Source organism: Homo sapiens, chromosome 6 (assembly GCF_000001405.40).
Source record: "Homo sapiens chromosome 6, GRCh38.p14 Primary Assembly".
In the NCBI taxonomy this organism is placed as follows: Eukaryota; Metazoa; Chordata; class Mammalia; order Primates; family Hominidae; genus Homo; species Homo sapiens.
The window spans coordinates 133,131,702-133,144,085 of record NC_000006.12 but is presented as its reverse complement, the minus strand read 5'-3'; positions in this window follow the sequence as shown (position 1 = coordinate 133,144,085).

Genomic DNA, 12,384 nt, shown 5'->3' with positions numbered 1-12,384 from the left:
GGCAATTAGCCAGGAGAAGGAAATAAAAGGTATTCAATTAGGAAAAGAGGAAGTCAAATTGTCCCTGTTTGCAGACGACATGATTGTATATCTAGAAAACCCCATTGTCTCAGCCCAAAATCTCCTTAAGCTGATAAGCAACTTCAGCAAAATCTCAGGATACAAAATCAATGTACAAAAATCACAAGCATTCTTATACACCAACAACAGACAAACAGAGAGCCAAATCATGAGTGAACTCCCATTCACAATTGCTTCAAAGAGAATACAATACCTAGGAATCCAACTTACAAGGGATGTGAAGGACCTCTTCAAGGAGAACTACAAACCACTGCTCAATGAAATAAAAGACGATACAAACAAATGTAAGAACATTCTATGCTCATGGGTAGGAAGAATCAATATCGTGAAAATGGCCATACTGCCCAAGGTAATTTACAGATTCAATGCCATCCCCATCAAGCTACCAATGCCTTTCTTCACAGAATTGGAAAAAACTACTTTAAAGTTCATATGGAACCAAAAAAGAGCCTGCATCACCAAGTCAATCCTAAGCCAAAAGAACAAAGCTGGAGGCATCACACTACCTGACTTCAAACTATACTACAAGGCTGCAGTAACCAAAACAGCATGGTACTGGTACCAAAACAGAGATATAGATCAATGGAACAGAACAGAGCCCTCAGAAATAACGCCGCATATCTACAACTATCTGATCTTTGACAAACCTGAGAAAAACAAGCAATGGGGAAAGGATTCCCTATTTAATAAATGGTGCTGGGACAACTGGCTAGCCATATGTAGAAAGCTGAAACTGGATCCCTTCCTTACACCTTATACAAAAATTAATTCAAGATGGATTAAAGACTTAAACGTTAGACCTAAAACCATAAAAACCCTAGAAGAAAACCTAGGCAATACCATTCAGGACATAGGCATGGGCAAGGACTTCATGCCTAAAACACCAAAAGCAATGGCAACAAAAGACAAAATTGACAAATGGGATCTAATTAAACTAAAGAGCTTCTGCACAGCAAAAGAAACTACCATCAGAGTGAACAGGCAACTGACAAAATGGGAGAAAATTTTCGCAACCTACTCATCTGACAAACGGCTGATATCCAGAATCTACAATGAACTCAAAGAAAACAAGAAAAAAACAAACAACCCCATCAAAAAGTTGGTGAAGGACATGAACAGACACTTCTCAAAAGAAGACATTTATGCAGCCAAAAAACACATGAAAAAATGCTCATCATCACTGGCCATCAGAGAAATGCAAATCAAAACCACAATGAGATACCATCTCACACCAGTTAGAATGGCAATCATTAAAAAGTCAGGAAACAACAGGTGCTGGAGAGGATGTGGAGAAATAGGAACACTTTTACACTGTTGGTGGGACTGTAAACTAGTTCAACCATTGTGGAAGTCAGTGTGGCGATTCCTCAGGGATCTAGAAAGAGAAATACAATTTGACCCAGCCATCCCATTACTGGGTATATACCCAAAGGACTATAAATCATGCTGCTATAAAGACACATGCACACGTATGTTTATTGCGGCACTATTCACAGTAGCAAAGACTTGGAACCAACCCAAATGTCCAACACTGATAGACTGGATTAAGAAAATGTGGCACATATACACCATGGAATACTATGCAGCCATAAAAAATGATGAGTTCATGTCCTTTGTAGGGATGTGGATGAAATTGGAAATCATCATTCTCAGTAAACTATCGCAAGAACAAAAAACCAAACACCACATATCCTCACTCACAGGTGGGAATTGAACAATGAGATCACATGGACACAGGAAGGGGAACATCACACTCTGGGGACTGTTGTGGGGTTGGGGGAGGGGGGACGGATAGCATTGGGAGATATACCTAATGCTAGATGACAAGTTAGTGGGTGCAGCGCACCAGTGTGGCACATGTATACATATGTAACTAACCTGCACAATGTGCACATGTACCCTAAAACTTAAAGTATAATAATAAAAGAAAAAAAAAGAAATGAAGTCATGTCTTACATGGCAGCAGGCAGGAGAACATGTGTGAGGGAACTCCCCTTTCTAAAACCATCAGATCTCGTGAGACTTATTCACCATCACAAGAACAGCATGAGAAAGACCTGCCCCCATGATTCAATTATCTCCCACTAGGTCCCTCCCACAACACGTGGGAATTATGGGAACTACAATTCAAGATGAGATTTGGGTGGGGACACAGCCAAATGACATCAACTTTTAATGTCACAAAATATTAAAGAAACTTTTAAATGCATTTTGTCCATATAATGCATGCAGCAATCTATGCCTAGTGGATGCAGCAGAGCATTGAAAGGTGTGCCCCAGAAAGCACTCAGATACCACTAACCCCTGGCTGCACTTACAGAAGGCCCAATCTGTGCACTGATTGCAAAGTCACGTCTCAATAGTGTAGATTTTATAAGAGAAAAAAACCGCTTGCAAAGAATGGCGTTCATAATCTCACAGGCTGAAACTCGGGGACTCTTCAGAAATTCTTAATACCGGGCAACAGGTAGTTATGACTATTCATCTAGCAATAATGTCCAGGAGTTGTATCATAGTCAGATACTTCAAGGATATATTTGACTGCTACAATATTTACATATCATTTAAATTGGATGTCACCAAGCACTCAATTATTAGGTCTTTACTACTTGTAAAACACTGAGTTGGGAGCTAAGAAGGCAAAATTAAATATATAGGAATCCATTTCCAAAAGATAATCATGTTTTAATTTAAGAAAATCAATGGGAAAGACTTTAAGAAATCTACAAAGGAATTAGAGTTTAAAAAAAAGAAAAGAAAAGATTTGGGATAACAGGGAATTCTAGAATCTTCATTGCTTTATTGCTCAGGTACCCTTGTTCTTCATGGTTCTCTTTAAAGAAAGTTTCCCTTCTCCATGACAGTGTTTGAAGTCATCTCTTTTGGTTCTATTCTCTGTTTGTGATCCTGTCTGCACAACCTTCCTGCAAACTTACCTCTGCTGTCTTGATTCTTTTCCTTTCTTGCTCATGTCTCTGGACAGCCAGCCCTGTGGCTGAAGATGCTTTGAGCCCCGCCAATGAATGAGGTGTGGAGGAAAGTGCGGAGCTAGTTTGTTACACTTATAACTAGGCATTGTCTGCTGTATGAATGAGACTGTATATAGAAAAATTAAAAGATCTGATTTTTGTTTACTTGTTATGTAACTTCATCCTTTTTTCATGTCTTTGTATGTTTTAAATTTATCTACAGTTTATAGCACATGATAACAACTCATAATGATTTTCCTGGCAGTCTCATTTAGGATAATCACTTAGCTTCTTCAGCATATCAGCCATAATAGAAGTTGCCTTTTTCTTCCCAGAAACTGAACAGTAAAAAATCATTCCATATACATACAAAATTGGATTTTACTCAGCTTTCCCCATATCCCACAGATGTCTAGGACTTTTCATCTTTACGTTAATTCAAAGTACTTTGGGTACAATCACAATTTCTTAAACTCATGAGGTTGAAAGTCAACCAATTTCTTTGCCTGTATTTAAAAAAAAAAAACTACCTGAATTAAGCCTTGCAATTTCTCCTTAAAACTTCCAATCTATCCTTTAATGCACAAATAAAAGTATATTTCAGGGACTTCTTGTTTCTCTGACAGAATTTTATGGTGAAAAACATTGGCCACGTACTGTTGAAATGAATATTTTCCCCATTGGTACATTATGTAATAAGCTACAACCTCAGAGCAAACATCTGTCCTATGGAATCACTACATGTAGAATTCTGAGGTCAAGTTCTGTTAAATGGATGTTCTCCAAAGTCATAGTTTCTTTCATAATAAATGACATACAAATGTCAACTTTATTCCGTACTTAACAGCTACACATCTATTATTATTTTGACCCTACAATAACATTTCCTTATGATGATGCCATTATTTTAAGTGTATAACATATCCAGTATGCTGGGGGTCAAAGAGCAGGCTGCCTCTTTTGTTTTTTCTTTTTCAGAATTTTCTGGGCAATGATTTCTTTTCTACTGCTACTTTTGGGTTTAGTTTGTTCTTCTTTTTCTAGCTCCTTAAGGTGCACAGTTAGGTTATTAATCTGAGATCTTCCTTTTATATATAGGCATTTATAGCTATAAATATCTCTACAATCACTGCTTAGCTGCATCCCATAAATTTTGGTATGTTGCATTTTTGTTTTAATTTGTCTCAAGCATTTTCTAATTTCCGTTGTGATTTCTTCTTTGAACCATTGGTTATTTGAGAGTGTTATTTATTTTCTACATATTTGTGAATTTTCCATATTTCCTTCAGTGATTAACTTCTAGTTTCATTCCATTGTGGTTGGAAAAGGTACTTTGCATGGTTTTAATCTTTGTAAACTTATTGAAACTTGTCTCATTGCCTAACCTGTGGTCTATCCTGAAAAATGTTGTGTGCACTTAAGAAGAACGTGTATTGTGCTGTTGCTGAACAGAGCATTCATTAGATTTCTGTGAGGTTGGAATATTGATTTCTGATAAAGTGACAAGAACAATTCAGTAGAGAAGGGATAATATTTTCAACAAATAGTGCTGGGTCAATTTAATATCAATATAGTTTTAAAAATGAACTCCTATTTATACCTGGCACAACACACAAAAGTTAATTTAAAATAGATCACACACATAAATATAAAACCTAAAACTATAAATGTGAAACAGAAAAATTTTTTGACCTTAGGTTAGGCAAAAGTTTATTAGAAATTATACCAATAGCATGATTCATAAAAGAAAAATTGGATAAATTGAACTTCAAAATTAAAAACATTTATTTTTCACAAAAGAAGCCTCATACTGGGAGAAAAATATTTATATGTCATATAGCTGACCAAAGATATGTATCAAGAATTTCTAAATAACTCTAAAAAATGTAGCAATAAGAAAATTTTAGAAAACCCATTTTAAAAACTGACAAAAGTTTTAAACAGACATATCATCAAAGAAGTTATACAGGTAGTAAATAAGCACATGAAAAGATGCTCAAAATCAGCAATCAGTAGGGAGATGCACATTGAAACCACGATGAATAGCACTACACACCTATTAAGACTGCTAAAATTTAAAAGTCTAATCACACCAAGTGCTGACGAGGATGTAGAGAGACTGGGACTCTCATACACTATTGGTGCAAATGTAAAATAGTATAACCACTTTAGAAAACTGTTTGACATTATTTTAAAAAGTTAAACATGACCTATCACATGATCCAGCCATTTCATGTCTAGGTATATACCTAAGACAAAGAAAGCACATGTCTACGCAAAGACTTATGCATGAACATTCATTGCAGCTTTACTTGTAATAGCTAAAAACTGGAAACAACTCCCATGTTCATCAACAAGCAAATAGATAAACAAATTGTGGTGTAACCATGTAAGAGAGCACTACTCAGCAATAAAAGAGAGTGGAACGTTGATACACATAACACTGACAAGTCTCAAAATATTAATATTTTGTGATGTGTTCTAAACTAAAGAAGCTGGTAATATTGATACATATATACATACTATCTGATTCCACTCATGCAAAATTCTAGGAAATGTTCATTAATCTACAGCAACAGAAAGCAGATCAGTAGTTCAGTGGTTTCCTGGGTTTGATTGTGGGAGAGAGAGAAGGGGAAAGGATTATAAAGAGCCTCAAGGAAACTTAGGGGAGTGATGGATATGCTCATTATCATGATTGTGGTTATATGGATTTATAGAATTCCATGTAAAAAATAATCTATTGTATGCCAATAATATCTCAATAAAACTGTTTTAAAAAAAATAATAAATAGAATCATGTCACTTCCGTGATTAAAATTCTTCAAAGCCTCCATGGTCTGAGAAAAAAGTCAGCTCCCTGGCATGTCATACAACGTTTTTGATGATGTGGTCTCTTGTAATTTCTCCACATACATCTACTGTTCCCATGACATGGAACAACGTGGAGCCCCCTAAAAAGTCATAACTTTTAAAGCCTGCTCACTGGGCAAACATTGCTTTTTCCTGGGTTTCAAGCCTCTACCTCTCTTACATAACAGACAGACACGCGCTTATCCTTTGAGATTCAGTTCAAATTACTTTTGTCGTTTCCTCACCGATTCACCAAGCAGTGAGGGCCTGCCTTTTCTGTAATCCCAAGGCACACTGTTTTAGCTACTCTGCTTACACTTTTGATAGACCGAATTTGTTTACCTTTTAGTCTTCTCCATTAGATCATGAGCCTTTGAGGGCAGCTATTCTGCTTTGACTTTCTTCCAGGCAGGCAGCAGAATTCAATCTTTTTTTTTTTTTTTTTGTTAAATGAATGTTTGATCTCAAGACTAATAAGGCAGAAAAATAAACTGTGTATATGAAATCATGGTCCATCAGAGCCAACTATTGTGACTGTTCTAAATATGTTCTGAAGATAGAAATTATTGCAGAAACCTTCTAAGCATCTCTCATAGAAAGGAGAAACAGGTTTATATCACATTTTCCATCAATAAATTATTCCATAGGCATCATCACCTAGATTATTTGTACCTCTCTTTGAGCCCAGTGAGATCTTGATGTTCAAACATCTCAAGTGTCCTACCTCCCCTGTTACTGAACTTAAAACAAATTTATTTGATTATTATATTGTCAGAGTTTTTAGGTGGAAAAATGTCTATAAAACTTCTCATAAGGGCATAAAATTGACTTAAAACCAACAGTGGTGGTATAATTAAATTTTTATTCATTTTGCCACATTTTCTTTAGGTAATTTTAAAAAACAATACAATACTTTAAAAATATTTCCTGCTTCCTGGTTTTTCCACTTTGACTTTGTAAAATGGCTTTTCTTTCTTAATTGAAAGGGCTGCTAGAGGATAAAGAGGTAGTAATACAATCAGGCCACCCTTTTTCAAATTTTGTTCTGTATTGCTTTCTACCTTAATGAAAACATTCTCACACTAAGCCTTAGTGATATCAAAGAACAACACAGCATTGTATTTAGCATTAGTTTAAATCAAAGAAAACAATTTTGTTGTTCTTTAAGAAATCTGAAAGCAAAATAAATCTATAATTTTTCATGTTTACATTTGGCACAGAAATATAATGTTTACAATTAAATTTGCTGTTAATTGCATCATAATTATTTTCATCTATTGAGTCATGTGAGAAAGGAACCTTCTCTTTAAGTGAGCTTGAAAGGCAAAATGACTGGGAAAATTCAGAAGGGACAAAGTTACAAAATCAGCTTCAGAAGAGAGACTCCTAATCCAATTGATTATGCCTCAGAGAGTCTGTGAGTTCCTTTTCCAGAGCTGAGCAATTCTTGTCTGCTCAGCTTTAAATAACTGTAAAATTCAAACTGATGGAACCATTCCAACCTGTGGACAGCGTGATTAATTCAGAGAACTTTGGCATGGTAACAAAGTCAAGTGTTTCTCACTGTGAGAAATTTTCAACTTATTTCATGGATGAGACCAAACAGATTTGGAAGTACTTTGCTTCTATGGGAATAGCATTAGAGAGGGAATAGCAATAACATGGTAAGAAAGAAGGCTGGAAAAGAACTGTCTCTGCTGGTGGTTTCTCATAGAGTTTCACTGAGAGCTTTGAAAAGGTTTGAGGAATTGTAGACAACAGGTGGGGAGTAAACCCTTGAAGTTTGTTATACTGCAGATAGGTGACTGATTAGTCAAGCACCAGTGTTGACCCAGTCATTCACTACACACTGAGCATTTATGATATGCAAGGTGGTGCTAGGGATGCAGAGTGCAGTGAGAAAGACACAAGATTTCTGGTCTGAGAGAGTGTTTTTCAAGGTATGATTTTAGGACCATCTACAGCCTTATGTGTATGTCAATAACCTTGCCATCACCCAAGTTATTAAATAAGAATTTCTAAGGGGCCGGGAGCAGTGGCTCATGCCTGTAATTCTAGCACTTTGGGGGCCTGCGGCAGGTGGATCACTTGAGACTAGGAGTTTGAGACCAGCCTGACCAACACGGTGAAACCCCGTCTTTATTAAAAACACAAAAATTAGCTAGGCATGGTGGCAGGCGCTTGTAATCCCAGCTACTCAGGAGGCTGATGCAGGAGAATTGCTTAAACCCAGGAGGCGGAGGTTGCAGTGAGCCGATATCACACCACCGCACACCAGCCTGGGCGACAGAGTGAGACTCCATCTCAAAAAAAAAAAAAAAAAAGAATTTCTGAAGATGTGACCTGGGAATACGTAGCGTAGTTTAACCTCTTACTAGCAATTGTTATGGGTCCTAAGTGTGAGACCCACTACCTGAGCTTCCATTCAATGTAAAAATAAGACAATAAACAAGCTATTGTGCTATATGGCATAATTTGATTTCTGTAATGAGAGAGTTAGAAACTGCTATACAGGTTTAAAGAAGAGGGAAATTATGTCTGAAAAAAAGAGTCTGAAAATATCTAAGAGAGAAGGAGTGTTTGAGATAAATTTCCATGGGATTATGGAGGATTTCTATGGTTGGCATTTAGAAAAGTCATGCTCCAGATGAAAAGAATACATGAAGAAAAGCAGAGTGTGTTTGTGAAACATTGATTTTTTTTTTTCTTTTTGAGACAGGGTCTTGCTCTGTTGCCCAGGCTGGAGTGCAGTGGTACAATCACAGCTCACTGCAGGCTTGACCTATGTGATTCCCCCTGCCTCAGCCTCTAGAGTAGCTGGGACTACAGGCATGTGCCACTGGGTTTAAGTTGGAAATTGGTTAAACTCCCTAATTGGTTGATTAGACATTCCATAAATGAGATGGTAAGCCCTACTTTCTTAGGGCTTTACATATTTCATAACTCTCTCTCTAAAAATGTGACATCAAATCCTAATATCTGCCCAATTTTATTTGAACCCTGTCATTTTTGTCCATCAAAATGATGCCTCTTGTCCAAATCTTAGATACTATAATTTGTGGCATTCAAACAAAGACTGAGTCAATCTAAGCCAACTGTGAATTTTTCTCTGCGTTACAAGCTGGCTTCCAAAATACAATTATATTCAGAGTCAGAACACTAATAATATTTGTCAGAGTATTAAAGAGCCACAATACAGAGATAACTACCATCCCTCTGTAGTCAAAATCAATCAGATAGAAATTCATTATATATGCAGTATAAATAGAAAATGGATATATAACAGTCATGTTATCTCTAATATTAAAATTTTAGCATAAAATGTCCTTTTATGTCTTCCTATATGTTATGAACACAGAGATTCAACAACTAAAATGAATGTAGAATATTGCTTTTGAAAGACACAAGTAATTCTTTACTTCTTGGCAAAAATAAATCATCAGAGAGATGACTTCAGATGAAGTCTGTGGCTGTACGATGTGTTCTTTCATTGCTTATCACGAAGAACCTGTTTTCAATTGTTCTGCCTAACAATTTTTTGGTAATTACATAATGATTTAGTCCATTTAGTAATTTATTATATGAGCAAGAGAAGAGAAATAAAGCATAAAACGATAAAAAGTATTCAAACTATCCAAACAAACTTAGAAGTTAAATACTACTGAGAAGCAGTAGATGTTTCCATAACTCACATAATAGCCACACATTACAATGTATTTGAAACACTTGCAGAAAACAGGGATCTGCAGTTTATATTGAAGCAGTAGGATCACTACTGTGATTTAATACGAAATTTATTCTGTACCCATTTTATAATAAATATCTTGTTTTTAAGGATATAAAAATGCATGTGTTTAAAATAGTATAGTGAATATATTTTCAGACAAATATGTTTATTACTTTTATCAGAGATAACTTATGATTCAATACTAATGCTAAATGAAACAGTGAGTAAAGAGAACTGCAAAATAGAAACATGCAAAGAAACAGTCTTTCAAACATAAAACTGATGTTAATAATAGCTAATATTTACTATAACTGTCATAGAATATATAGTTATTTTTAATAGGAAGTGATTTTTAAAAAGTGTCCATTAACATTTCATTTTATAAGACAAGACAGGTCATTAAAGTGGTATAATTTGCCCAAATTCACATCAGGAGATAACGAAAACTTTGATAATATATTCATTCAACTAATATTTCCTAAGTGTCTACTATACGATAAAAGTCAGAATAGTGTTATTTTTTGCTGACAGCAATGGCTGGGAGGAGGCTTGAGTGATGCTTATGGATACAGGTAATATTCCATGTCCCAGTCTAGGTAGAAGTTACACAAGTCTATTTTACTTCATTAAAGGAAATCTTGGAACAGTTCCCTTAATATTTGAGTACTTTACTGTATGTGATATTTCATTTACAGAGCTTACAAAAATAAAATGAAGGAACATTCTATAAGACAACTAACCTGGAGTTTTTAAAAAGGCAACATTAAAAAAAACACATGCAAAAAAGCACAACCCACAAAGACCAACCAAATGCAATTAATGCATCTTGACTAGATTGCGGATTAGGGGAAAAATAACTATAAAAACCTATTGGGCTCAAGTGGGGATATATGAATATGAAAGAAATCATAGATTATATCACAAAATTATTGCTAATTTTCTTAGGTGTGATTATTATTGTATGGTTCTTAGGAAATGCTGTATGTTGTATGGTACTTAGTGATAAAGTGTCAGGATGTCTGCCACTTATTTTTAAATGGTCCAGAAAAAACTGTATGGGTATGTCTGTTTGTGTGAGAGAGAGTTCAAGAGTATGTGTAAGAAGAATATGTGAATGTGATTTTGCACGCAAGTGTGAGCGTGTGAGTGTGTGTGGTAATGTGTGAGTGTGTGAGCATGACCCTGTGTGTGAACATGGATGAGAACGTGTGAGTGTGTTGAGTGTGTATGTGAGTGTGCCTGAGAGAACAAACTACAGCAGAGACAAAATTTGAACAAGTGTTAAATTCAGGTGTAGAGTACCTTCTACTTTTCTTTCAATATTTTTGTATTTAAAAAAAAGTTTCCAAATAAAAGGGGGACTTTAAAAGAAAACTAAGGCAGAAAAAGTAAAAAAAAAAAAAAAAAAAATGATCACTTGACCCAAATCTCAGGCCTTGAGCTTCCCGCTGAACTGCTCTGAGGCCCGAGGTGAAACTGAGAGCTGCGGAAGAATGTGGAAATAATGGGCCCAAGCCGCCGGATGAGTTATATTCTTCACACACAGGGCTCCTGAACACTCACCGTCCTCAATTTTATTTTTATATGGCACACATTTAGAAAATTTAGGAGCGTCCTGGAAAGTTGTAACAGCTGGTCTGCGAGTGTTGGGCCCCGGGGCTGGGGCTGGTTGAATGTCTGAGGAATTCGGAGGCCTCTGAGAGAAGCATGTTTCAGAGAAAGGCCCTAAACTGCCTGGGAGCCCACAGTGTGAGAAACAAGCCACTGGACGGGCCCTGACAGATGTTATGAAAGGGTGGTGTTAAGTGCCTTTTTCAGGATATTAAACCAGCATCCTAACTGGCAAAAAATGAATTGTCACTGACATTATGTCGGCCCAGCAGAGACCCTCTCTGCTACTTTCTGTGATCTGGGAACCATTATACACAGGCGATCGATAATGCTCCTGGGCTGGAATCTAAATAATGATTTCTAATAAAACCTACTTTAGACTGTTCGGGCCAGAGGATAGAGACAAGTCACAAAACATAATTGTCCTTACAGCCGCCCTCCCTCCCTTTCTCTCTTTTTTAAAGACCTGAATAATAGAAGAGAGATCTGGCGATAACACATTTAAAAAAAAAAAAAAAAAGCCTTTTGGTCCTGGCCAATCTGCTTAGCTAATGGCTGTAAACCGACACCCCTAATGAAATAAAAATGTCTCAGTTCAAGTGCATAGCTGCACAATTGTTAACAACACTGAACTCTGGCTACAATCCTGGTGATGGGTACTAAGTAACACACTGACAATTTCCCATGGCTTCCTCCCTGGCCCCTGCCTGTTGAAAAGCAAATAAAAGAATCCTGCCCAAAATTCAGGGACAGTAGCATCAGGGGTTTTGGTCAGTGAAACAGCAGGCTTTATCATTTTTATCTCTTTTCTCTGCTTGTGCAAGCGGACTGATTATTTTTCATTTCAAATCCCAAGGCCCATGGCTGATCATTGGCAAGGAGTGTTCTGTCTTGCCCGGTGCTTTTTTTAAAAGGCGCAGATGAGTTAGAGACACAGAGAAGTGTACATCCTTCAGCCTTTCCCGGCCCCTCCTTCTGCCCTTGGCCTCCTAGTGTTGCCCAGCTCCTCTGAGCCCTGTCCAAATGTGCTAAGACTGGAGGGCTGTGGTTAAAATGGGTTCCCCTGGCTCTCCTGCACAGCTTGCAGTTGTCTGATTTCAATCAGTGGCAGTTCCCTCCACATGTCCAACCATCAATCTTCCA